The sequence below is a fragment of the Homo sapiens genome, chromosome 10, assembly GCF_000001405.40.
Source record: "Homo sapiens chromosome 10, GRCh38.p14 Primary Assembly".
NCBI lineage: Eukaryota > Metazoa > Chordata > Mammalia > Primates > Hominidae > Homo > Homo sapiens.
In genome coordinates, this window is record NC_000010.11 from 46,365,591 (window position 1) to 46,392,795 (window position 27,205).

Here is a 27,205-nt window from a genome sequence, read left to right on the forward strand (position 1 = left end):
CTGTTTCCCCTTCATACCCACTGGCTCCTCTCTGCCCGCTCCTTGGACTGCATCAGCAGGGTGCCTCACTGTCTGGCCCTAGTGGAATTCACACAGTGGAGGACGTCATAGGAGGTGGGAGAGAGAGAGAGAGAGGAGAGGTGGTTATTCACTCAGATTCTTCCTTGCTGGTTTGGCAGTGGCCACATCTTTCTACTGATGGCTGCAGCTCCTGATGATCCTCCTCTACAGCCACAGCTCTCTTTGGGATCTGTGGACACCTTTCCTGTCCCTCTAGACCCAGGGAGATAACAGCTCCCACTCTTGCTGGTCCAGGACATTCCTCATCTCTTACTGGTTCCCTTAACTCGGTCCACACTTCTGTGAACAGCCCCTTTCCTCAAGTACCCATTCGAATATGTCCTCTGGCTTCCACCAGGAGCCTGACTGATACCCACAGGTGGGTGAATGCTGGCGTGCTGCTGGGCCCCTCTTCCTCTGGTGACTGGCCAGCCAAGTCTCCAGGAGTCTCGTTAGGGTGGGCAGGCGGTGGGCACAGCATAAACTGTGAGCTCAAATCCACAGAACAAAAGTGGGAGAAGACACTGGCAGGATGGACCGCCACAAAACTCTTGGCATTCGTGACGTCTGTCCTTTAAATCACGCAAGGCATCATCATGCTTCAGACATGAGACAGCCTAAGTATTTAAGTGTTTCAAATAAACAAATTGTTTTTCAGAATTGGTAATTGCTAAGTTGGCAAATTGCTATTGGAAACATTGGCTGTCCTCGACTCAATGATTCAGCCAGCTAGTCCCTTGCCAAACTAGTTTGTTGGGCAAATTCCACCTTGAGAATTTATCTGCTCCTGTCAAAGCCAGATTCTCCCTGCCTGAGGGGAGGCTGGACTTGACCTTCTGACTCAGGATATGCTGACTTGGGTCCCTAGGTCCAAGGGCGGCCCTCTTGGGCCCACTGTGGGCTGGACCTCTTCCATGATGGGGTGGTGGAGGGCAGGCCCCACCTGATTCACACTTGACCTCATCCAGGCAGGTGAAGTTCCCTGCAGGAGTCACCTGAGCCCAGCCCCTCAGACCAGGATCCATCATGTTTAGGAGGATTTGGGGCTATCTCATGTTCTTTGGCTAGAAAGGGGTCCCACTCTTAGGGGTCTGCCCTCTGTGGGGCACAGATGGCTTGCTGGGGCCCATGGACGGGGCTGGGTGAACGGGAATCTGGTCACAGCAGCAGCAGCTGGAAGGCCAAGAGGGAGGGCACCAGGGCCTGGGACCCATGTCTTGTCCTGAGCCTCCCCGGGCCTCTTGCCTTCTCCCCAGCAGGCATTTGGGATCTGTGTCTGGACCCAGCCTCACCCAGAAGGCCATGGTGTGTTGTCATTAGAATCACAGTGCTCACACCAAGGCAGTGCATTAAATTAGCAGGGCAGGGTCTCATGGGCAGGGGACCATGTGGAGGGGGTGGGGGGAAGGGCAGTTGTCCCCAGAGGCCGTGGTGGGCCTGGCTCTGGGCTGGGCAGTGGGCCAGGGTCCTGCTGTGTGGATGAGCTCTGACAACAGGCTGTCTGGGTCTGGTGAGCTCCTGAAAGCGCGGACTGGTGGAGAGTACCCTAGGGTGGGAGCTCATGAGGAGGGGGTCTGTGGGGTCTGGAAGCCATTCTAGAGCAGGCAGATGACATTTATCAGGGGAGCAGGCATAGAAAGGACCCTTGTGCGAGTGGGGGGGACACAGCCTCAGAAGAAACAGGGAAGGGGCTTTGACAGGTCCAGGGAGAATCCCTGAGGTTTCCTAGAACAATTCCCACCAGCCATGTCCCAGGTGTCGCCCCATCCCCCAGGCCTCTGCAGTGCCAGCCCAATGCCCTGGGCAAAGCATCCTGGACTCTGGCTGTTACAAAAGGAGGACAGGGTCATCTGGACCCGCCTGAGCTCCAGGCCCCCGACTTTCACAGCCCCTTCTGGGTCCAGAAGTTCATACGTATATAAATGAAAAATGTGCAAGAATCATATTATTGTATTCTTTTTCATAAAGAGGCCCCTCTAAATTGTTGAAGCCCCGATTCACCCCTGCCCAAAGGAGACAGCAATGGCATGTGTGGGGCCACAGTCTTGAGACCCAGAGGTCCTGCTGCCCACGATACCCACTGTCCACCCTAGGGTTACTGGCCGTAGCCCTGGAGCCCGCAAACACCATGCAGGAATGCAAGAGGGTCTCAGCTCCAGAGTCCCAGGCTGGGAGGGCCCACAGTCCAGTAAACTAATCAGGCCCTGACACATCCAGGAGAGCAGCTCCAGGAGCCTGCATTGGGGAGACAGCCTCGGACCCCTGCCACAGGCCTGCACCCCAGAAGTAGGAGCATGGGAAGACCTCTCCTTGGCTCCTGGCCAGCAGAAGTCACATTCCCCAGCCCTCTGGCTCCAAGGCAGCCTCACGTCCCAGTCACTCCTTGGCACACCCTACCGGTTGGTCAGAGCTCACTGCCAAAGGGCACCTCAATGATGAGTGGAGGGAACAGGTGTTTACCAGGAGCTTGCATGCTTTGTCTCAGGGATGATTAGGGACACAGCCAAGAAGGCACGCTATGCCCATTTTACAGATGAGGAAACGGAGGCTCAGGTTGGGCTGGTGACTAAGGGAAGCAGCATGTGGCAGGTGGCTTGAGGCATGTCTGTCCATCATGAGTAACTAGGGAGCAGCCCTGCCACTCCTCATGCGATGCACCAGGAGCCAGGGAAGCTGCTTTCTAGGGGATTCTAGCTAAGGCCAGAAGCATCTCCCTGAGTGGTGGTGGAGGCCTCTGTCTACTCCTCCAGGACTGCCAGGGGATAGGAGGGCACCGCTGACCTCACAGAGCCTCTTGGGTGAGTGAGCATCAGCTGAGTGACACCAGGTGACTACGCTTCTGCCCAGTGCTGTGCCCCCCTCTGACTCAGGCAAGGCACCACCCTGAACGGCCCACCCTGTCCCATGGAGGCCGCAAACTGCTCTGCAGAGCCAGGGTCTCCAGGAATGGGGAGGGCAGTCACCCTCATTCCACTTGTGTTCATGACCCAAAGGACTGCCCAGGTCTCCAGGCCCATAGAACCCCCAAACCTCTTACTAGGCCACACTGGGGACCTTGAGCAGCAGGCTTGGAATCCTAGGCCTTGTCTCCAGGTACATATCAGTACCCAGGCTTGGGAAGCTTTGGTCTCAGGGGGGCTGGCACTCAGGCCCTCTGCCTCAAGGAAGAAGCATGTCCAGATCTCTACTGTCCAGCCCTGCTCCCTGCCCCTATCCTTCACGGGGTCCCTAGGACAGGGTTACAGAAGCCTCATGCTGTCAGGGGATGCTGCCACCCTAGTTCCAGGGTGGCTCCGCCCAGCCCCTTCCTGCTGCCGCCCTCACTGACTCACCTGTCCAGCCTCCTACTGGGCTGGGGTGAGGGCTTATTGCCCCAGAGCCTAGACAGGCACCAGAGGCAGCTATAAAAGCATGTTGGGCCAGTCCTCAGCATCCTAGTTTGCCACTGTCTGCTGCCACACGATGCTGGGAGGCCTGGGGAAGCTGGCTGCCGAGGGCCTGGCCCACCGCACCGAGAAGGCCACCTAGGGAGCCAGTGAGGACCCGGGGCTCCTTTCTACCTGGGCTGGGGGGATCTGGGGCAGACTGAGTCTGTGGGAGGCGGATCTACGTAGGCAGGCGAGGACCTGCGGAGAGGCCTTGGCCCCTCAGGAACCCTGGTCTCCTGCTCTACCAAGTCAGCACGGAGTTGAGGGGTGCAGACCTGGGGAGGTCTCCTGGGGGCAGGGCATGAGTCCTGGTGCTGGGTGAACACTGGCAGCTTGGACCCTTCCCTCTGGAAATCTGGGGAGCCTTTCTTGTCAAAACAGCCTATTCTGAATAACCTATGCAGGAAAAGGAAGATGGATTTTTATTTTTACCATAACTTTAAAGCTTCAAAGATTTCTTAACAAGTCACCAAGTCTGTTCAAAGTCAAAAAGGGCATTTTCAATTTCATCCAAGTCCCCTAAAGCATGTTTATTTTTATTTGTATTTGTATTTGAAATGGAGTCTTGCTCTGGCACCCAGGCTGGAGTGTAGTGGTGCGATCTCGGCTCACTGTAACCTTTGCCTCCTGGGTTCAAAGTGATTCTCATGCCTCAGCCTCCTGAGTAGCTGGGATTACAGGCACCCACCACCACGCCCGACTAATTTTTGTATTTTTAGCAGAGACGGGGTTTCGCCATTTTGGCCAGGCTGGTCTCAAACTCCTGACCTCAAGTGATCCATTCCTCTTGGCCTCCCAAAGTGCTGGGATTACAGGCGTGAACCACTGCACCTGGTCCCGAAGTGTATGTTGTATTCAGAGGTCAGCAGGTATGTGTGGGGAGGCCCAGCCAGGCCCCACTCATGGGTCATCGTGTGAAAAAGTCTTGCCTGAGTTTGTGTCCTCTTTCTAAATGGCAGCAGATGCGTATTTTGTTTTTGACTCTGCAGCTGGTGTGGACCACCTGCTTTAACCTTTCACTAGCCTCTGAGTTTTTTATGATTCCTGTTGGGAGAAAAGCTCAGCGTTGGGAGAAAAGCTGAGGCAGGGCTTGCTAGACTTGCTGGCTCCTTGCTTCTAGCACTGCCATTCTCTCAAGTAGCCATATGTTTCTCATTCATTTGATACACTGTTGCCTTTCAACCTCCACATCCTCACCACCTGTTTCTTTGTTAGATCACCAATAAATAGCGTGGGCTCCCAGAACTCGGGGCCTTCGCAGCCTCCACACTCGCGATAGCGCCCTGCTCCCATTTTCTCTCTCGAACTGTCTCTTTCTCATTCCTTTGACTCCGCTGGACTTGCCGCCCCCGTGACCTGGTGTTGGGTCTCATCATCCCAACAGATTCCCATTCTAAAGATGAGGGAACCAAGAGGTGGAAGGTAGAGTTAGAATAAGAACCATTTCTTCTGACTCTGAAATCCTTCAGTTCTAGCACACTACCACCCACACTTTAAAAAACTCTGAAGTAGGCAGAGAATTCCGTTTTGTTGGAGGAATTGCTTTGAGAGACCTGGTCTTACTGGATGAGGCTTTGGAAACCAACCTGAGGCAGGCGCTAGCACATCCTGAGAGGGGTGTGACCTGGCACACAGGCCCAGCCTGGGCTTCATGTCTCAGCTGGCAAGACTGCCTGCTCATTGCCATTCCAGGCCGGGCAGGGCCAAGGGGCTTCAGGGACCCATGCCCTCATGGGGCTCATTGAGCTCGTCTCCCAGCAGCCAAGGCCCTGGCATCTCCAAATGAAGCCAGCTGTGGGGGAAGGTCCTTCTCATGAGCCAGTCTGTCCTGGCTGGGGGTGGCACCCCAGAGCCCCATCTAGGATGCCCAGGGATGTATAGGTCTGTTGTGAGGATAAGCCAGCCCTGAGCCCTCACCCTGGACTGGGAGGGCAGTGGGCCTGCTCTGAGCCCTCACCCTGGACTGGGAGGGCAGCGGCTCTGCTCTGAACCCTCACCCTGGACTCGGGGGCAGCCGGCCTGCTCTGAGCCCTCACCCTGGACTTGTCTCCTCTGTTCAGTTCATGCCGTGGAGGAAGTGGTGAAGGAGGTGGTGGGACATGCCAAGGAGACTGGAGAGAAAGGTACAGCCGGCTGAGGTCGGGCAGGGAAGGAGGGAGGGAGGAAGGGAAGCTAGGTGCTGGGCCAACCTGTTCTTTGACTAACCAGGTCAAACTCTGCCCCTAATGTTGCAGCCTTTCAGAGCCTCTTGGCTGGGGCAGTTATCTATGCTCATCAGAGGCCACAGACTGTACTGCGTTAGGACACTGTCCAGATGGTTCTCTCTGTGGAATAAGAAGACAAAGTCACACAAGACTATGTGACAGCACACTGGGACAAAACATTTAACATGGCAGGGCGCGGTGGCTCATGCCTGTAATCCCAGCACTTTGGGAGGCTGAGGAGGGTGGATCACGAGGTCAGGAGATCGAGACCATCCTGGCTAACACGGTGAAACCCCGTCTCTACTAAAAATACATAAAAATTAGCCGGGCATGGTGGTGGGTGCCTATAGTCCCAGCTACTTGGGAGGCTGAGGCAGGAGAATGGTGTGTACCTGGGAGGCAGAGCTTGCAGTGAGCCTAGATCATGCCACTGCACTCCAGCCTGGGCTACAGAGCGAGACTCGGTCTCAAAAAAAAAGAAAAAAAAAATTTCTGGGGGCGGTGGCTCACGCCTGTAATCCCAGCACTTTGGGAGGCTGAGGTGGGCGGATCATGAGGTCAGGAGATCCAGACCACGGTGAAACCCCATCTCTACTAAAAATACAAAAAATTAGCTGGGCACGGTGGCGGGCACCTGTAGTCCTAGCTACTCGGGAGGCTGAGGCAGGAGAATGGCGTGAACCTGGAAGGTGGAGCTTGCAGTGAGCCGAGATCGCGCCACTGCACTCCAGCCTGGGCGACAGTGTGATACTCTGTCTCAAAAAAAAAAAAAAAAAAAAAAAAAAATTTAACATGTAAAATTCTATGTTAAATGTTAAATTGATGTGTGTGAGCTATGAGTAGTACTATGTACAAAGCATGTGTATATCTCATTCCTTTTCAACAAAATAGATTCCAGGTAGATGAAGGACTTACATTTACATAAATGAATTTATTAACTTACTAGGAGATAACCATCTTAGCTCAGGCTGCTATTATAAAATACCATAGGCCAGGTGCAGTGGCTCACGCCTGTAATCCTAGCCCTTCGGGAAGCCAAGGCGGGTGGGCCACCTGAGGTCAGGAGTTCGAGACCAGCCTGACCAATATGGTAAAACCCCATTGCTACTAAAAATACAAAGACCAGCTGGGCATGGTGGCACATGCCTGTAATCCCAGCTACTCAGGAGTCTGAGGCAGGAGACTCCCTTGAACCTGGGAGGTGGAGGTTGCAGTGAGCTGAGATTGCACCACTGCACTCCAGCCTGGGTGACAGAGCAAGACTCTGTCTCAAAAACAAAAACAAACCATAAACTGGGTGACTTAGAAACAACAGAAATTTATTTCTCACACTCCTGGAGGATGGGAAGTCCAAGATCAAGGAAGGCACTGGCACATTTGGCATCTGGTGAGGGAGTCTTTCTGGTTCATGGATGGGCCCAGCTCTGTCCTCACATGGTGGAAGGAGCTAGCTCTCCGTGGTCTCTTTTATGTGGGTGCTAATTTCAACCTCCCAAAGGCCCCACCCCTTAATATCATTACATTAAGACTGAGGATTTCAGCATATGAGTTTTGAGGGGGAAGACATCATAAACATTTAGACATAGTAATAACTTCAGAGACTTTGGCCTAATCTTGGAGAGGGGAGAATCTTTAGAACTATGACAAAAAAATCAGCGCCATAAAGGAAATATTAAGTAAATTTGACAATCCAAAACTGAAATTTTCTATAGCCAAAAAAAAAAAAAACACTATAAACCAAGCCAAAAGAAAAATTATACACTGATGAAAAATATTTGTCATAAAAATGATAATCCAGTATAACAACCCAATATAAAAATGGTCAAAAGACATAAGCAGGCATTTTCCAGAAAAAAGGATAAGCAGGCAATGTACCCATGAGTAGATGCTCAGTCTCACTCACAGTTGAAGAAATGCAAGTTGTTGGGGAAATTAAAACCAAATTCAAATTCATTCTGCAGTAATCCTGCTGCCCTTGGTCCCATCGGGCCACTCCAGAGACTAATCCATTAAGATGGCCACATCCCACAGGCCACTCAAGGGGACACAAGTTCAGCAGGTGGATCACTAGGACATTCTTCCTCTTTCCAACAGCCATTGCTGAAGCCATAAAGAAAGCCCAGGAGTCAGGGGACAAAAAGATGAAGGAAATCACCGAGACAGTGACCAACACAGTCACAAATGCCATCACCCATGCAGCAGAAAGTCTGGACAAACTTGGACAGTGAGTGCACCTGCTACCACGGCCCTTCCCCAGTCTCAATAAAAAGCCATGACGTGTACATTGAGCGCTGGATTTATTCCCATTTGGATGGAAACACTAGGCAAAGTATTTTCTTGTTGACATAACATATTTTACATATTTATGGAGTACATTTAAGTATTTATTACATGCACAGAATAGTGATCAATCAGGGTGTTTGGGGTGTCTATCACCTTGAATATTTGGTATTACTATGTGTTGGGTACATTTCAAGTCCCTTCTTCTAGCTACTTTGTTTTTTTGTTTTTGTTTTTGTTTTTGTTTTGAGACAGAGTCTTGCTCTGTCGCCCAGGCTGGAGGGCAATGGTGTGATCTCGGCTCACTGCAACCTCTGCCTCCCAGGTTCAAGCAATTCTCCTGCCTCAGCCTCCCAAGTAGCTTGGACTACAAGCGCAGGCCACCATGTCCGGCTAATTTTTATTATTATTATTTTTTATTGTTTTTATTTTTAGTAGAGATGGGGTTTCACCATGTTAGCCAGGCTGGTCTCAAACTCCTGACCTCAGGTGATCTGCCTGCCTGGGCCTCCCAAAATGCTGGGATTATAGGCATGGGATACTGTACCTAGCCTTCTAGCTACTTTGAAATATACAATACATTGCTGCTAACTATAGTCACCCTAGGTGAAGTATTTTTCAACAGAAACACTTTGCATGTCCCCCGTGTCTCCTCTGCTGAGGTGGACACTGGCACTGGGGCCCCTGCTGCTGGTTGGATAGGTCCTCATGATGAAACAGATGCTTCTCTGTCATGCTAAGTAAGATCTTTCATGTCAGGAAGGGGCTCTTCTGGAAGAATAGTTAGTGTCTGTGCTACATTTCCTAAAAAACTGTTTCCCCAGAAACTATATACAGCTTTCAGGTGCCTCAGTGCTTCAAGACATGCTAAGGGAGGACCCTCATTTGTCTTGCATGTTTTTGGGATTTTTCTTGAGATGTTCTTGCAGGACTCAGGGCAGATAACAGACCAGCTTGATGAAGAATTTAGCAAGGAAGGCCCCCACTGAGCTGCTTCCTGTTCTCGCAGAGATCAGATAAGCATTTCTGCTGGACAGTTACAGAATCTGGTCAAGGAGAGACTGAGTCACTGCTCATCATCCTAGAAGCTGCTGTTGATTTTTTTTTTTTAAAGACGGAGTTTCACTCTGTTGCCCAGGCAGGAGTGCAGTGGCATGTTCTTGGCTCACTGTAACCTCTGCCTCCTGGGTTCAAACAATTCTCCTGCCTCAACCTCCCCAGTAGCTGGGACTACAGGTGCCCGCCACCACTCCTGGCTAATTTTTTGTATTTTTAGTAGAGATGGGGTTTCACCATGTTAGCCAAGATGGTCTCGATCTCCTGACCTCATGATCCACCTGCCTTGGCCTCCCAAAGTGCTGGGATTACAGGCGTGAGCCACTGCACCTGGCCCAGAATATTTATTTAGAGACTGATGTCAGGCCTAAGTGTTGATAGTGGGTAGTAGTGGGCAAGATGCCTGGCCCTCTCTCTTTCTTCTCATGAGAGAAGGTGGAATGCCTTCCACCAAAGAAACGAGACCTCCCCATGACCAGCTGCTCCACTAACCACACATCCTCCAGTGATGCCTCTGAATGGTCCCGAGGGGCTGTGGTGGCTGGGCAGAGCCAGGCAGGAGCCAGAGTCAGCCTGGGGGGTGATGGAGCTGAGGCCATCACCGGTCTGACAGTGGACCAGTATGGCATGCTGTATAAGGTGGCTGTGCCGCCTGCCACCTTCTCACCAACTGGCCTCCCATCTGTGATGAATATGAGCCCCTTGCCCCCGGAAAAAAAAATAATATTGCATATACAGTTGATTAAATGGCATACTCCATGGCTATTAGGAATGATGAAAATGGGCTGGGTGCGGTGGCTCACACCTGTAATCCCAGCACTTTGGTAGGCCAAGGTGGGCAGATCACCTGAGGTCGGGAGTTTGAGACCAGCCTAATCAACATGGAGCTGTGTTTACTGAGTGGGGCTTTCGCAGGCTGGAGCTAAGAATTTCCAGTATGCGTAACAGCCACAGCCCAAATATCTGCCAGTGAGTTGTGTAATTCCCCAGAGCAGGCCTGGGCAGTGTCTGGGTGGGGCCTGGGAGCCACAGGAGACGCCCAAAGCCAGGCAGAGCCCGGGGGCGAGGGGGCGGCAGGCAGGTGTAGCGCTGCCCTGGGAGGGCTTGCACCCCCACACCCAAGTGAGCGGCCTGCTCACTCCTCAGCTGCAGGAGCCAGACGTGTGGAGTCCCAGCAGAGGCCAACCTGTGTCTCTTCATCTCCGTGAGAAAGGTGCCCCCGAAGTGAAAGAGATGGCCTGGTGGAAAGCCTGGGTAAGTGGGAGCTGGCAGGAGATTTGCGTTCCTGCATGGTGTTGGGTGCTGGTCACCAGGGAGTCCTGAGAAATGTAAAGTCGCCCTTGGCTGGGAGTGGCTCAGTCTACATTTGGCTGCCTCCTGGGCCAAGCATGGAGGGTGGGAAGGGGCCGAGAAGAAACAGTCCCAGGCCTAGAGTGCCCACGGCAGGGATGGGACCTGGGCCGGGAGACAGGCTGATGAAGAAATCTAGAAATGCAAGGGGGAAGCTGAGGTTTGAGAAGAGTCCAGGGGAGGGACCCTTGCAGGGGTGGGGCCACTCAAAGGAGGGGGTATCATGGTTGAGCCTTGTGTGTAAATGTGTATGGGGTGCACACACGTGTGCATTTGGGGAGAATCAGGCATACTGCTCCTGGCAGAGGGAACTGTGTGCAGAGGGTCAGAGGGCGGGGAGCTTGGCTTTGAGGGAAGCTGCTCAGCACAGCTCAAGGGTCCTGGTACCGGAGGAGATGGACCTGGGGAAGCAGGCAGGGCCAGGTCCTGAAAGGCCTTGCCTGGCAGGCTGAGGAGTTAGGCTTTACCTTAAGAGAAGTGGGAAGGCACTGAAGGGCTTTGAGCATGAGAGTAACCTGAACCTGCTGTTGGGGACCCATCAATGCCTTCACCTCAGGGATCAATGATGTTCATTTGTCAAGACTGGAGAGGGAAGAGGGGAAGCAGGAGGACCTAGCCTGCTAGAGCCTGGAGGAACCCGGGGCTCAGGGCAGCCCATGCCCAGCAGAACTGATGGGTTCTCGGGAGCTTTCTGTCTATGGTTGAGCCTGAGGCCATCGCTGTGCTAAGGAGTTGAATATCCAGAAGGGGACAGAGGTGACATCTCCCGGCTCCCGGCTCTGCACACCCTTTTCCTTTCCTCCCAGGCAGCCTCAGGATGTCAGGGCTGCACTTTCTGTTTTGCAGATGATGAAATGAAGGCTCAGAGACACTGAGTGACTTGCTAGGGTCCAATGGCCAGCAGGCTCCAGTCAGAGAGCAGTTGGGTCTCTCTGCCCAGCCCCAGGTTCTCTGTGAGCTTTTGTGGGATACCCAGGCTTGTACAGCTTCAGGGAGTCTCTGGATCATAGATGTCGCAACCCAAGCAAGTGTCCTCAGGGTCAGACATGCTAGGTTCTGGACAGGTGGGACAAAGAGGAAGCCAGGCTGAGGTGGGGCAGCTGTCCTGGCCCCCAGGGAAGCAGCCTTCTTCCAGGACAAGGGGCCATGGAGGCCTGCAGCTTCAACCAGACTGCTGGGAACCTGCCTTTGAGGAGGTGGACATGGCAGGGAGAGCCCAGTGCTGGGTGGTTTCCAAAGTCAGTTGCTGGCCAAGGCAGTCTGGCACTGGGCCTTGCACCCAGTGCAGCAGGACAAAGGGCTGTCCATGTAGGGACCTGCCAAATTGACAGGATCACTGTGACACTCACTGAGTCCCTACTCTGTGGCCGGACCCTTCTCTAAGCACCTCACATTCAATATCTCCCTTGAACCTCACAAGGAGTCTATGAAGTAGACACCAGTATCCTTATCCACAGATGAGGAAACTGAGGCACAAGTAGGCTAGGCAGGTGCCCGAACTCACTAGTAAGTGTGAGAGTCTAGGTGAGAATCTGAACAGCCTGACTCCAGGGCCAAAACCATACCCTGGTCGTCCATACCCCATGTGAGAGCTGGCTCGGGGTAGCAAGTTCACAGGTAGACCCCACCTGCAACAGCTGAGCTGCTAGCGAAGACCCAGTGTCCTCTAGGCACAAAGCTGGGCCAGGAACGGGATGGGAGGAGATGAGGGAGCCACTGGAGAGAGATCTGTCTGCAGGCAGGGCCCATCTGCACCTCTCTTTTTGGTGTTGCCTTTTCCTCTGTGTCTCTCATAGAGACAAACCCATCTCCCAGGCCTCTGGGCAGCCACGTAGCAGGGGAAGGCCAAGGCATGGCAGCTCCCCTGTGCCTGTCACAGAACAAGTTATATTAATAGATGTAGTCACAGGCTGGTCTGAGTCACCTTTTCAGTGAAAATGTGCCTGTCTGGACTAGCACGGCCCTGGGCAAGACCCTGCAGGAGCCTGAGGCTGACCCTTCCTTCTCAGCAGGAGGTCTGGAGCTCCAGGACTCCACACTGATAGCCAGGGCTCCGATTCCCAGAACACTTATTTTCTAAAACCTTAGAGTGGGAAGTGAGACAGAGGCTTCTCAATGCAGCAAAATCAGAACCAGCCAGGGAGCTGCTTACAAATGCTGCACCTGAGACCTACCGCACCCCTGCGGGACTGCATGCTCCTCAGGGATGTGGTTACACAGCCTGGCCACTCGCTGGTGCACCACAGCCCCCGAGTGCTGGGGCAGAGGGAAGCCGGCAGGCACTGAGAGCTGAGATGCCTCCCACATTCCCAGACGACCTGCGTTCCTGTGGGTGAAGCTTCCTTCAGTGGAACGTTCCAGGAACACTCATTGTCTGGGAAAGGTGGAGTCATCAGTAGGGCAGGGGAGGTAGATAGAGCTCAGCTTCTGAGTCAGGCTGGGGAGTCCCAACAGCATCACTTACTAGCTGTGTAAGGGAGTCCAGCTCCCTTTCTGTAAAGTGAGGCATCAGTACTTACCTAGCACAACTGTTGAGGAAGCCATGACATAAGCATTGCTTCTAAAGCACCTGGCCCAGGTCTGGCACACACAAGGGGCTTGAAGTGCTAACAGGAGTAATAGCAGAGCGTGACTCCACAAGCAAGGGATATCGTGTGTGTGGACACCGATGAGCAATATCTGGGACCACACTGGCTCTCTCTGGATGGAATTTCCATAGGAATTATTTCTAACAATTTCTGCTGTGAAACATGGTGCTAAGAAATGACTCAGGAAGATCTGTCACCAGACATTTGAAATTAAAGCAAAGAGTTCAGAAAGATGCCTTACCTCTTACTCAAAGGAAAGATACTTACAGATATACCATCCATTGGAATCTCTGTATTTTCACAATCTAACCCAGGGCTTCGATGGATGGATGGATGGATGGATGGATGGATGGATGGGCGGGTGCATAGATGGATGGGTGGGTGGATGGATGGATGGATGTGGTAGTCAAATGGGTAAGTGCGTAGGTGGGAAAGTAGATGGGCAGATGATGGAGGTGATGGAAGGAATAAGTGAACAGGTAAATGGAAGACAAGACTGGATGGGACTAAACTCTTTTTCATCCTGGAGGATCTCTGAGTCTCCCTCTAATTCAATACCTATCTCCAATATCCCTCCATTCTCTACCATTCCTCCACCCAAAACACACTTATGTCCATGTTAATCATCTGAGAAATTCTGCAGGGCACAAGTTTAAAGAGCCCTCAGGCAAGCCCTGAACTGGAGGCTTGGAAATCAAGGGCTCAGGCACTTGGTTATCTGGTTTATTTCACAATCTGCAGAGCATCGTGCGGGTTTTTCTAAACCTGACGCTCTGAGCCCCATGGGCCTGTGGACTTGCAAACACCCTGAACTATCAATATGCTCAGCTGGGCCCCTGCCCTCTAAGTTGCTGTAAGTCCCAACTCCCCAGGAAGAGGGCAGACTGAGCTCAAACCATTCCTCAGAAAGGCAGAACCATGCTCAGCCTTCCAACCTCATCTGCACACTCTGAAGGTGGTGCATGCAGCTCCAGGAAGCCTTTGCTTCAGTGTTCTTTCCCCTCCTAACTTTGGGTGAGTTTGTCCCTTCCTGCTGCTGGTGGGTGATGCTGGAAGGAGCTGGGTGTGGCTGGGGCTGCTGTCTGCAGTCAGATGGCACAGACAGGGACAGGAAAGGTTTTGTGGCTTCTCCCCACAAGCTCTGGCTCTGGCTACTCCACCCTGTTGGCCAAGGGGCTGAAGGGCAGAGCACTGGCCTGCAAGGGCTGAGCAGATCTCCGTGCCCAGGGAAGGGGCTCACCCTGTCAGGGCGGGCTACCAGATGGGCTGGGAGCCTGCTCTGCCCTCCCTGTCCCTGCCTGCTTTGAGCAGGCCTGGTTCTCTTGCAGATTGAACAGGAGGGTGTCACAGTGAAGAGCAGCTCCCACTTCAACCCAGACCCTGATGCAGAGACCCTCTACAAAGCCATGAAGGGGATCGGTGAGTGGGTGTTGGCAGCCTTGCCACCTCTGCTCAAGACCCCTCCGCTCACAGCCCTGGAAAGCGGGTGCCAGGGGACATCTGGGGAGCTGGGGTGTCCCATGATACTCTGAAACTGATTCCACTACCCAGAGAATCACACAGCCCTCTGTTTCTGCAGTGAGGTCAGCACCCACCCTGCAAGACTGGACAGGAGGGTGCTGCTCTTCCCTGGGTAATGGGGGTGGGGAGGTGAGCTGTGTGTCTCTGTGAGTGACTTCCCATCAGTCTCAGCTTTCTCACTTGTAAAGTGGCCCCAAGAATTCTTGGCCTTGTGTGTCACATGAAGTGTGAAGGGGGTGGTGCTTTATGATGCCAGGCACAGAGCTGCCAGGGGTGTGAGGTGTTGGGAGTTTGTGGGGCTGATTCAAGGCCCCCTTGCCCCATGTCGATGGCCATGGAGCCGGCTCCCTTCCCATCTCCTGCACTTGCCCAGTGCTGCCCTCAGCACTACCGTGAGTGGGCGAGGGCTGGCCTGAGGCCAGATTTAAACAGCTTGCCCAGAAAGCCCTCCTGACCTGAGAGCAGAGCATGTACCCTGACCTCACCCCAGGTGGGACTGACCCCTTAGCCGGCTCTGCCTGAGGATCAGGGGCCTTAATGAGAACTGCCGCTCCTGACAAGCCCAGAAAACGTTCTCATGCCCTCTGCTTTCTGTGAAGCAGAAAGTTATCTCCACTTCCCAAATGAGAAAACGGAGGCCCAGGGAAATGAGGCTGGCTGCCCAATGCCACGCAGTTGCTGGGCCAGGCCTCGGATTCAGGGGTTGGACTCTTAGTCTTGACCTTCCCCTACTGCGACCAACACAAAGGAGGGCAGGGCCAGAGATCTCACTCGGCCAAGCTCCAAAGGCCCGGGCTGATGTCCAGAGCCACCCAGACCTCAGATTCCATCTTGTGAGGCTGGCCTTGGGCACGCCCCAACATTGTGGGGGTGTGGGGTGGGAAATGGGGAGGCAGATTTCCTAAGGGTCTTGTTTACACCACGAAAATGGTCTGGGGGTTTGGAACTATCCAGGTGTCGGGTCCCAACTGCTCAGCCACCAAGCAGCTGCCTTCGCCTTCCCCTCCTCCGCCCTCACCAGTGTGTCACCCTGGGGGCAGCAGGGTCACTTGTGCTGTAACCCTGCAGGGACCAACGAGCAGGCTATCATCGATGTGCTCACCAAGAGAAGCAACACGCAGCGGCAGCAGATCGCCAAGTCCTTCAAGGCTCAGTTCGGCAAGGCAAGGGGAAGGCTGGTGGGGGTGGGGATAGGTGAGCCTTGGGGTTGGGGGTACAGCCTGGGAGGCAGCTCCATTCTGGACGACTTTCCCCTAGAGCCAGCCCACTGGTAGCATGGGCACATGGAACCTGTTTGCATGAAAACAATTGTTCTTTATTGAAATTCAAATGTAACTGGCTGCCCTGTGTTTTATCTGGCAGATCTACTTTTAGGTGTCAGAGCCCGGGCCGGGGGCTGGCCTTCCTTGCTTCCTTTCCTGCCTCTTCTCTCACAGCATTCCTTCTCATGCACCCAACAGGCCCCACTGGAGGTCTGTCTCCCTGCCCCCAGGCTATCTCGCCCTGCCCTCTGAGCCCAGACCACCTTCTCTTTTCCATGCCCCAGGCATGCAGGCCTGGCTTTGCTCTGTTCTGGGGCGTGGGCATGCTTTCCTCAGTCGAGCTGCTTGCACCCACACCTCGTCCCTTCTGCCACCTGGGAATTCTAAGAGCCTGGAGTAAGCATGCCAGGCCCTTTGTTTCTCCTCCCACCTGCACTCCACCCCTAGGACAAAGCCTGACATTTGGGGGTACACAGTAAACACAGGATTAAATATGTGCACAGCCATGGTTGCCTCAAGCCTCTAGTGACTCATATCATTAGTTTGGAGATGTAACGAAGGAAGATCAGCTCAAATATTCTCTTGGAGAACCCAGTATGCATTTTTACAGTTTCCCTCTCTTAGTCCTCACAGTGATACATTCTTTGTATTCAAACATTTGGGGAAACTGGCACTCAGAGAGGTTTTAAGTTGCCCAAGGTCCCAGAGCCTGTAATCAACAAGGTGGGGATTAAAATCCAGGTCTGACAAAGCCCTTGATCTCTCTGCTGCTCTGTAGATCAGCTGATGTAGCCTGGTGGCTCCTCGTAGCAACATGTGACCTTAGAAGGAGGCACATGTGAGACGAAGTCTTTAATTCAGGCATGCATTCATTCATTGAGTGCCAAGTGACAGGTATTTTATGGTGATGCCATACTCAGAGCTTGCAGTCTAGCTAGCAATACCAATTTCATTTTACTGAGAGCTTATGATGTGCCCAGCACTGCACTGAATGCTGAATTGAGTCACACACAACCCCCTAAGCAACGGGATGAAGCAGGAGCACGTTTCTCTCCGTGTAACCGGTAAAGATACTGATGCTAAGAGAAGCTAAGGAGCTGGCCCAAGAAACCCAGCCAGCACGTGGCAAGGCCCATGCAGAATCCAGCCCAAGCCCCTGGACCCAGCCACCACTCCGCTGCCTGCACTCAGGTGGGCCTGGCTTATGACAAATATCACCTTTCCCTGTTCCCGCATTAGGACCTCACTGAGACCTTGAAGTCTGAGCTCAGTGGCAAGTTTGAGAGGCTCATTGTGGCCCTTATGTATCCGCCATACAGATACGAAGCCAAGGAGCTGCATGACGCCATGAAGGTAACCAGGCAGACAGGGCAGGGGAGTGGCAGGGGTGCTCACATGACTGGGTAGGGGCAATGCGGGGACCGGGAACCTACAGCCCAGAGCTCCCCTTGAGCCACTGTTTGGAATGGCCATATGGGCCATAACTGGGCCCAGTGAGCAGGCAGCCTGCTGCTCAGACTGCACCCAACACCTGGAGTCACTGGTGCCTGATTGACACGTTGAGTGGCCGTGATGAAGCCAAAATCAGTACTTCTCAGAACCTCACGAGCTCAGGTGTACAGTGGTATTGGAAACCCACCTCTACAGTCCCAGGCACAGCCCCTTGGGTTTCCCTTTACCTCTCACTACTCTTTGCTTTTGCAGATTAATAAGGATGGGGACCCAGTAACTATAGTCATTTTGTTTGGAAAGACACTTGCTGCATGGGCACTGCCAGGCATTTTACACCCACGCTCCCTAATCTATCTTTGGCGCAGGGGAGGCTTCTTATTCCTGTTTATGGATCGGGATGCTTAGGCTCCAGGACATGGAGCAGCCTGTCTGAGACCACCCAGCTAAGGAGGGAGAGCTGAGACAGGGCTTCCCCGTCACAGCACTTGCCCTCAATGTTCATCACTGAAGACAAGCATGTGATTTTCTCATCACATCCTCCCACTTCAAGTGGGGCAGGGCAGTGAGGTCCTTCCTGAGGCTCAGGCATCTTGAGAAAAGAAGGTGTGGACAGAGCAGAAGGTCATGGCAGAGCACTCCAGCAGGCAGAGGTTTCTGTCCACAGGGCTTAGGAACCAAGGAGGGTGTCATCATTGAGATCCTGGCCTCTCGGACCAAGAACCAGCTGCGGGAGATAATGAAGGCGTATGAGGAAGGTAAGGGGTGGCACAGATGGAGGGGCTCAGGAGTGGCCACAAGCTTTGGCAGCCTGGCAGGGAACAAGGATCAAGAATTAACCTGGGCCACACTAGAAAGGACCCTTTGGGGACTTTTTTACCCACAGGTGCTGAGCACCTACCGTATGCCAAGATCTGTGCCTGATGGTGACACTGAACATGATTCAGACTTGATCTGTAAGCTCACCAGCTCCTCTTACAGGGGAGAGAGGCCTGTGACCAACTAAAATCTCTGCCCTTGAGGACTGTGGTAGTAGGGGGTGTGGACCCCAGGCTAGCAGAGGCCAGTCAGTCCTCCACATCATGTACCTAGTGGGGAGTTTTCCTGGAGGCTTTGGCTTTGCCAAGCCTTGAGATGAAATGGAGCTTGGTTGGCAGCCCCTAGCCTGGCTCTCTGACCTGGTCCATCTTGTGCTTTGAGCTTGGTTGGGTACGCATGTCGCTTCTAGTTGTGAAGCACCACCCAGGCGACAGCCACTTGGACACCCGGGCATTGCATCCATGCCCTGTGCCAAGGACTTTCTTTCCTAGAAGGCTTTAATAAGGAGAAGTATGGGGAACAGGGCTGGAAGGAGGAAAGCAGGCCCCGGGTAGGCTGTGGGCCTCTGCTTGTGCCTCATGGTCCTGTTTCCCTGCAGACTATGGGTCCAGCCTGGAGGAGGACATCCAAGCAGACACAAGTGGCTACCTGGAGAGGATCCTGGTGTGCCTCCTGCAGGTGTCACAGCCTAGGCTCTTGGGAGTGCCTTGGTTTGGGAGTCCCAACAGCTCCACCCCAGGGAGCAGCCCTTGAATAGCGCCACAAGAGTCAGGGTATGGGCATGGGATAGCCCAGCAGCCAGGGCTCATTGGGTGTGTCTCAGCATGGTTAGAGGGTCCCAACTGCAGAGCCCCCACACTTGTCCTTACTCAGCCATGTGAGAGCATCCTGGAAGCGGGAGGAGAGCAGGTCCTTCGTGCAGACCTCATGCCAGGCACTTTGCTTACCTTAGCTCACTGAATCCGCCAAGCCTTATGAGGCAGTCCTTACCACCCCCGTTGTACAAATGAGGAAACCAAGGGCTGAAGAGAATAACTGGCTTGTCGAAGTTTCCACAGCCAAAGAGCAGCAGAGCCATGCCTACCCTCCAAGCCCAGGATCCCCCCTGTGCCCTTAATGCTCTGGTCAGCTGGCCTGCCTTACAGAGCCACCTCCTCTGTTCCTAGGGCAGCAGGGATGATGTGAGCAGCTTTGTGGACCCGGCACTGGCCCTCCAAGACGCACAGGTGAGGCTGCGCCCAGCCGGCCATGTGGCCCCACCCCCTGCCATCTGGACTCCGGCTCCTCTGCCCACGGGGGCTTTCTCTGACACTGGGCTGGGACCCACCCAGCTCAGCTCCCTATAGGCCTTTGTCCTGTGGTGTCTGGGGAGGAGAGTGAGGGTGTTGGGAGACTCGGGAGGAAGGAGTGTGACTTGGGGGTGGGGGAGCACTAAAGCTCTGTCCTGGCAGGAACAGCCCATGAACCCGGGGGCGCTAGGCCCCAGTGCTGGACACAGGTGTCCGGGTCTCTGTAGGTCTGCCTGCTGGCAGAGGGAAGTCTGGGGACCAGGCAGTTCCTAGAGCAGCTTGTGGCCCAGGATAGAGAAAATATTCTAAGCCAGAGCTGCTAGAGAAAGGGGAGCTCCCTGTCAGAGACGACCAAGCAGGGGAGCATGCTGGCCTGGCAGAGTGGACAGGGCCAGGCCATGGCCACAGCTCTGGGACTCTGGGGCTCAGTCCCTCACCTCCCTGGTCTCCCTCACTGGCTTATTGTGGGTGTCCCAATGCTAGGATCTGTATGCGGCAGGCGAGAAGATTCGTGGGACTGATGAGATGAAATTCATCACCATCCTGTGCACGCGCAGTGCCACTCACCTGCTGAGAGGTACCAGGGAGGGAGGGGCTGGGGCCGGGGCCACAGGGGTGTCCTGGCCATGAGCCTCTCCCTCGTGCTTCTGCCTTGTCAAGTCTAGAGTTAGGGAGAGAGCCAGGGAGCCCAGGACTGTTTCCCCAGCCACCAGTGGGAGGTCAGGGCGGCAAATTGATGTGCGATCTCTGATCCGAGACACTGAGGGGCATCACGAGGAGGTCTGACCATCCCCTGAGCAGAGCCCTCTCCACAGTGTTTGAAGAGTATGAGAAAATTGCCAACAAGAGCATTGAGGACAGCATCAAGAGTGAGACCCATGGCTCACTGGAGGAGGCCATGCTCACTGTGGGTAAGAGCTCAGACTTGCACGTTTTTCAGGCCACAGGGCTCACCGTGGGGCAGCACCAAAGAACAAAGGGCCTAGGGATGCGACCACAAGAGAAAGAATCCCTGTGTCACCTTCACGGGATGTCCCCCCGACTCACACTCTGCCTGTCTCCCTCACCCAGGGACTGCTCCACCTCTAGAGTCCCAGTGTGTGCTGCCAAAGATTGTTCTCTGTGCTGCCCACGTGGTGCCCAGTGCTGTGTGGGTGTGTCTGCATGAGTGTGTGTGTGCGTGAGAGTGTGTGTGCCTGAGGGTGTGTGTGCATGACTGTGGGTGGAATGTGAGTGTGTGTGTGTGAGACAGACAGTGTGTGTGTGTGCGCACACAAATGCATACGCCAGTGATTATGCCAGCCCCAACCCTGTGTGTACTCATGGCAGCCATGCAGGGAGCACTCTGGCTGTGGTTGTGAAGCCCTGGCCAGCACAAAGTCATCTTTCTGGACATGAACCAGGGGCCTGGCCCCTGCCTTCATTGCCAGTTGAAGAAACAGTGATGTGTGGCTTGAGTCCAAACTGAGTGACGGATGGTCTGATGCTGAGAAACACTGGGGATCTTCCCCACAGCAGGAAGTCAGGGCCACTCAGGAGGACCCACTCCAGAGCTCTCATGGGTTCCAGGGCTGAGATCACAATGGGAAGAGTCACTGCAGAGTAAAGAGCTGAGGCCCAGGGCAGAGGGACGTCTCTTCTCCCACTTACACACAGAGCCCAGGTCCGGACTCCTGGCCTGCAGCTCTCACCTCCACACCAGGCTGCCTCCGTGCAAAGCCAGCAGCCAGCAGGCTCCCTGCTGTTTCCTAGCCTCTCTGGGTGGACAGGGCCATCTGAGACACCCCAGCTGGCCTTGGATGCTGTGATACAATCCGGTCTATGTCAGGACATCTAATCACACCCCTGCTCCAATCTCAGCTTCCACCCCTGGATCTGGCCTGAACCCACCAAGAATGAAGTCTGCCAGCAGGGAATAGTGAAGCCATGCAGTGCTCCGTCATGCTGGGCCTTCCTATTCACTTCACCTTGAAGCCTCGCATCAGTCTCACTTCCCAGATGAGTCAGGGAGGTTGAGTAATGAAGCCATACTGCACCATCAAGGCAGGAAGTGAACACATGCCTACCTCACTCAAAGCCCATGCTCCTTCTGCAGCCCTAAGTGAAAATGCCAACCTTCCCCACCCAGATGCCAAGTCTCTGAGCAGTACCCATGGGAGCAAGCATGGGCCCAGTCTCTGGACCAGACGCCCCCAGGTGCCTTAGTCCTGTGGGGCCAAACTCCACTTGTCACATGGGAATTCAAAATGCAGGGTTTCTGCTGATAAGTGTGAGAGAGAGGGCACTCTGAGGCCAGCAGCCACCATCCCATGGTGCTTCTGTGGAGCTGAGAGGCTGGATTTTTGGTGGAGGTGTCTCTGGGTTGAGAGCCCAGGGCCTGTCCTGAGTCTGAGCTGCCCTTGGATGGGCTTGAGCTGGTGTCTTCAGACGAGCCCCACAGTCTGGTGCATTTCACATCTTACCCTTTTGCCTGCCTGCTTGGGCCTTTGGAGCTGTGCCCAGTGCCCCGGGCTACCTTCCCTGTCCCACGCCACCTGACACAAAGCCTCTCACATTGGGAAAGGCACGGAACAAAGAAATATGCCAAGCCTTGCACAACACTGACTCTTAAGACCTAAGGCAAGACATAAAGTTGTAGGCAGTGCCACCTACCAGCTCCAGACATTAACACAGCTTTCTTGTTTGCCAGTGAAATGCACCCAAAACCTCCACAGCTACTTTGCAGAGAGACTCTACTATGCCATGAAGGTAACTGTCCTGTCTTCTTCTTCCTGACGCTCACCCTACATAGCACCAAGTGCAAAGCCAAGGAGCTCAAAGCCACCACGATCCTCCACACGGGGGAGTTATCTTACCCAAACCTGTCGTGGATCAGAAAGGTTTTAGTTCTCGGAGGTGAAATTGAGTCTGGGAAAGGGACGCTGCATCTCCAGAGGTGAATAATTCCCTGAAACTAAAACCATTGCCCGTTTTCTCTGATTGATGGTTGCTGATATCCCCTGAAGTTAGTTCCACACCCGAAACCCAAGCCCTCTGGCCACTTCTGCCCAGGAAATGAGAGAGGGCATGCGATTCCCTTGGCCATGTGGCCCCAGCTGACATGAGACTGGTCAGGGATGAAGGTGAGCAGGAAGGCCCTGCCTGTGAAATTCCTGGCTGAGCTGATTGCTGCCATTGCTCTAGTAGGAAGTCTTGTTCCTGGAGCAGTGAGTATTTTGTGTCTAGAATCTGATGTGGCAAACCAAACATACTGCAGTTTGGAGCACTTGGCATCATAAAGGAAGAGTTCTGGGCAGTGGGTGAGAAGGAATTAAGGGAGTGGACACCCTAAGCCACCAAAGCTTCCCTCCTAATGCTTCCCTGGCTGAAGCACAGGCTCCTTCCCACATCTCCCTCCCTCTAAAAGCCCCAGAACCCAACCACACAGATCCGTCCATCACTCAGAGATGGACAGGAAAGGTGAGGCAGGATTGTTGATGGCTGCTGTCTTGCCCAGGGAGCAGGGACGCGTGATGGGACCCTGATAAGAAACATCGTTTCAAGGAGCGAGATTGACTTAAATCTTATCAAATGTCACTTCAAGAAGATGTACGGCAAGACCCTCAGCAGCATGATCATGGTAAGCAGGCATTCCCAATGCTGAGGCCAGCCTGAAACCCAGACATTCAGGGAAACCTGGAGGCTGTGGCCAACACTACGTGAGCCCCTCCCTTCCCAGTGGGCACCATGTGCTTGCATTCATGACCATGTGGTGTGTGCAGGGAACAGCAGAGGTCAGTGTGGCTGGATCCCAAGGGGAATGGGGGGCAGAGGGGAGATGCAGAGACCAGGGCACAGAGGCTCCCCTGTGTCCCACTCAGAAAGTTGGTTTCACATTTAAGTTATGGTTGCTCCTTGGAAAAGACACCAAATCCTTGCAGAAGAAGCCACCTCTGAATAGTCAATGAGATGAACTAGTCCGGTAGGAATCGGGCCCACCGCTCAAATCCAGATTTAAGTAGTCCTGGCGGCCAACTTCTAAGGAGATAAGTCAGATGAGCGCCAATAGACTATCTAACCAGATTCCAATTAGCAAAAGTTCTGGAGCCTTCAAAACACAGACTGATTATCACGCTGCGATAATTGGGAGAAACAGCTCTTCTGGGGGTGTCTGCAAATTGAGGTCTTGATGATTTCATTAGCAGAAGTCACATTAGGACAAATGTATCCCCAAGTTTTCTTTGGCTACTAAGTCAAGTCTCTAGCTCTTCTGCAAATGTCGTTGTTAAGTGCACTTTTCAAGAAACACATAGCTGACAATAGGTGGAAAAGACATTTCTGTTTCCAGATGTTTCAAGATGGCAACATCTTGAAACAGGTGGGCAGGGGCAAGAGAGGATTGGAATTATTCTTGGTTTCACTTGAGGCTCCCCAGCCAATCTTGTCGGGAGACAGGAGGGCAAGGCACACACCAGCCTGGACTGTGCTGTCACCTGCAGACAGTCTGAGCTGATTGTCATTAACCCTTTTAACCACACATGGTAACTTACGGCATCAGAGAGATTTCTACAGATACATGAAGCCACCCTCTTCAAATTTTATCTAATGTTGTTACTTAAGAAAATTGAGTTAGAATCATGAATACATTGACCAAACATTTTCTTTTTAGTGTAGACCACAGATGTCATTAAAGCAAAAATGGTTTTCAACACTAATATGAGTTAAAAACTCCTGCATTGAAATTAAGAGGCAAATGTATAAACACTTCAAGTATAACTCATGTATTTGAAAAAGTAAACAAAATTAATGCTTTTCTTTCTAAAAACTATTAGAAAAATTGTCTTCAAAATAATAAAAATCACCAGGCGTAGTGGCCCACACCTGTAATCCCAGTGCTTTGGGAGGCCAACGCAGGAGGATCGCTTGAGCCCAGGAGTCCAAGGCTGCCGTGAGCTAGGACTGCATCACTGCACTCCAGCCTGGGTGACAGAGTGAGACCGTGTCTAGAAAGGAAAAAGTTAAAAAAATTTCATTGTAGTTTGAAACCCGTAATGAGATTTCAGGCTCAAAGCAGGCAAATTTTACTAAATGGTGAAAAGTAGACAATAACCATGAGACCTAAACTGGTCCAGAGTGTGGAAAGTGGGTCTAGCCCCAGTCTACCCCTTACTCACCATGCCGTTGTGAATGAATTCACTCCCCTCTCTTGGCCCCGCTGTCCTCAACTGCATGAAGAAGAATCTGGGTGATCTGACCTGGCCCATTTCCCAGCTCTGTATGCAGACCCCGGACTAGCCAGTCCCATCAGGACCTACCAGTATCTAAGAAACAGGGCTCCTCAGTCATCGGACCACAAGGTCAGTCTCATCAGGAGACAAACACTGTGGACCCGATGTGAGCCAGATGCAGGGCAGACCAGCTCGCCTTCCTCCTGCTGTACCCTCACCACGTCTCAGCAAGATGCACAGCAGCACAGCATTGATCTCATTTCATAGATGAGTCCCACAGAGGTGAAGGGGCTTGCCTCGGCCACACCGTCAGGGTGCGATGGTCCAGGCTCCCTCCACCCCCGGCCCTGCTCCCAGGTGTGTGCTGATGCCTCACTCTCAGCCTTGATTCCCAAGCTGCCACAGCAGGTGTTGAATAATGATGCATCGTGTTGTGTAAATGAATGGCTGGGCACCCTGGCTCCCGAATAGAAGAACCCTGGGACAGCTGACCCCTTCCTTGTTTAGGAGTGGAACTGTCTCTGATTCATTTTCCACATCAATCCTGCATGTAGTTGGTAAGAGAATCAAAAGGAAATGTAAAGGAATAGCCTGAAATTAAAAACCAGGAAAGAGGGGTGATGGCACAACCCCTGCGGCTAGGAACCCTGGAGGGCCGGGCCAGGTGCAGGCCAGGGGCACACCTCTTAGTCATAATAACACAGCCGCCACTGCCGAGCCAGGCACAAACAAACCCCTTCTCACGCTTATGCGCCTCCTACCCACAGGAAGACACCAGCGGCGACTACAAGAACGCCCTGCTGAGCCTGGTGGGCAGCGACCCCTGAGGCACAGAAGAACAAGAGCAAAGACCATGAAGCCAGAGTCTCCAGGACTCCTCACTCAACCTCGGCCATGGACGCAGGTTGGGTGTGAGGGGGGTCCCAGCCTTTCGGTCTTCTATTTCCCTATTTCCAGTGCTTTCCAGCCGGGTTTCTGACCCAGAGGGTGGAACCGGCCTGGACTCCTCTTCCCAACTTCCTCCAGGTCATTTCCCAGTGTGAGCACAATGCCAACCTTAGTGTTTCTCCAGCCAGACAGATGCCTCAGCATGAAGGGCTTGGGGACTTGTGGATCATTCCTTCCTCCCTGCAGGAGCTTCCCAAGCTGGTCACAGAGTCTCCTGGGCACAGGTTATACAGACCCCAGCCCCATTCCCATCTACTGAAACAGGGTCTCCACAAGAGGGGCCAGGGAATATGGGTTTTTAACAAGCGTCTTACAAAACACTTCTCTATCATGCAGCCGGAGAGCTGGCTGGGAGCCCTTTTGTTTTAGAACACACATCCTTCAGCAGCTGAGAAATGAACACGAATCCATCCCAACCGAGATGCCATTAACATTCATCTAAAAATGTTAGGCTCTAAATGGACGAAAAATTCTCTCGCCATCTTAATAACAAAATAAACTACAAATTCCTGACCCAAGGACACTGTGTTATAAGAGGCGTGGGCTCCCCTGGTGGCTGACCAGGTCAGCTGCCCTGGCCTTGCACCCCTCTGCATGCAGCACAGAAGGGTGTGACCATGCCCTCAGCACCACTCTTGTCCCCACTGAACGGCAACTGAGACTGGGTACCTGGAGATTCTGAAGTGCCTTTGCTGTGGTTTTCAAAATAATAAAGATTTGTATTCAACTCAAAGTATCTTTGGATGTTTAGCAGGGACCAGTGTAGGACCAATTTAATTTGTCAGAAACAGAGCTTTGGGGAGCCACGAAGCCTGAGCGCCTCGTGGGCATCTCCCAGTGGGAACACTGGATGGGCTGTACCTGAGCACCTCGTGGGCATCTCCCAGTGGGAACACTGGATGGGCTGCAGCCACCGCTGCCCTGGGGACAACTCTTGCAAATGAGGGTAGATTCTATTCACCTCCTGATGTGTAGGCTACATCCTTGTATCTCAGGGTTAGAGAGGGATTTAAAGTCAGCTGGTGCTGTTCCGACCTGTGGCCTGACTACCCCCTTGGCATCCACCCAGGGGTGGTCCTTGGTGTGCTTGGGGTGCACTTGGGTACTCAGGGTGTACTGGTGATACTCAGGGTGCAGTTGAGTACTCCGGGTGCACTTGGCTGCCTCCAAAGATGGGACTCACTGCGTCCTTTGACAGCCCAATCTTTTTCCAATGGATGTGACCAGCAAAGTTCTTGTTTTACCTGAACCAAAATCAGCCGCATCAAGCCCACACCTCTGCCATCTAGGGCCACAACACTTATTCCCTCCCAGTAACAACATTTTGGATATCTGAAGAAGGCCCACAAATTCTGCGATGACCTCTGTCAAAGCCCAGTGTCCCCAGTCCCTTCAGTGGTCCCTCCTGGAGCCTGTTTGGGGCCATCACCCCTGAACATGCTCCAGTTTGCAAACTTCCCCTCAAGTGGCCCTGAGGGGTAAGCGTGTGCCCAGGAACCAGCCTGATCAGGGAGATGGGAATAGCGTGGGCTCTGAATTCACTTGGACGGGAGGCAGATTCTGGCTCTGCCCTGCACCAGCTCCATGACTTTGACTGTGTTAGGCTATTCTTGTGTTGCCATAAAGCAATACCTGAGTCTGGGTAATTTATTTAAAAAGGGGGTTTAATTGGCTCACAGTCCTGCAGGCTATATAGGAAGCATGGTGCCGGCATCTGCTCAGCTTCTGGGGAGGCCTCTGGAGG

At 53.2% G+C, this 27,205-nt stretch overlaps 1 protein-coding gene and 1 pseudogene across 4 annotated transcripts, besides 1 other annotated feature; both read left to right on the forward strand.

Moving 5' to 3' along the window:
* Window positions 1-3,496: 3,496 nt before the first annotated feature.
* On the forward strand, window positions 3,497-7,973 carry FAM25BP (family with sequence similarity 25 member B, pseudogene; annotated as a pseudogene). The gene is made up of 3 exons (NR_104039.1): window positions 3,497-3,595; window positions 5,549-5,611; window positions 7,787-7,973. The product of NR_104039.1 is annotated as a family with sequence similarity 25 member B, pseudogene (transcript).
* Window positions 7,974-10,185: 2,212 nt separating this feature from the next.
* ANXA8L1 (annexin A8 like 1) lies at window positions 10,186-26,188 on the forward strand. Of its 3 annotated transcripts, NM_001098845.3 has the most exons (12): window positions 10,186-10,282; window positions 14,295-14,385; window positions 15,556-15,650; window positions 16,989-17,102; window positions 17,866-17,956; window positions 18,616-18,695; window positions 19,184-19,243; window positions 19,790-19,883; window positions 20,122-20,217; window positions 21,996-22,054; window positions 22,803-22,925; window positions 25,281-26,188. In NM_001098845.3, the coding sequence occupies exons 1-12, from the start codon at window positions 10,262-10,264 to the stop codon at window positions 25,338-25,340; spliced, it is 984 nt and encodes a 327-aa protein (NP_001092315.2). In that variant the 5' UTR covers window positions 10,186-10,261; the 3' UTR covers window positions 25,341-26,188. The 3 variants fall into 3 exon arrangements, with proteins under 3 accessions (NP_001092315.2, NP_001265852.1, NP_001265853.1); NM_001278923.2 differs by lacking the exons at window positions 17,866-17,956; window positions 18,616-18,695; NM_001278924.2 differs by lacking the exons at window positions 17,866-17,956; window positions 18,616-18,695; window positions 20,122-20,217 and having other exon boundaries at window positions 15,442-15,650.
* Window positions 15,659-16,200: an enhancer, noted in NCBI's record as "H3K4me1 hESC enhancer chr10:47752508-47753049 (GRCh37/hg19 assembly coordinates)". NCBI's record gives its function as "activates a minimal SCP1, AML or CMV promoter by ChIP-STARR-seq in primed H9 embryonic stem cells {active_cell/tissue: H9 hESC(primed)}" and the evidence as "EXISTENCE:reporter gene assay evidence [ECO:0000049][PMID:30033119]".
* Window positions 26,189-27,205: the final 1,017 nt, after the last annotated feature.

Excerpts from the sequence above, each read along its gene's own strand:
- ANXA8L1 (NM_001098845.3), top strand. The coding sequence starts at position 10,262 with ATGGCCTGGTGGAAAGCCTGG. Across the intron at positions 19,244-19,789 it reads TGGCCCTCCAAGACGCACAG|GATCTGTATGCGGCAGGCGA; the intron begins GTGAGGCTGCGC and ends TCCCAATGCTAG. Across the intron at positions 20,218-21,995 it reads GGAGGCCATGCTCACTGTGG|TGAAATGCACCCAAAACCTC; the intron begins GTAAGAGCTCAG and ends CTTGTTTGCCAG.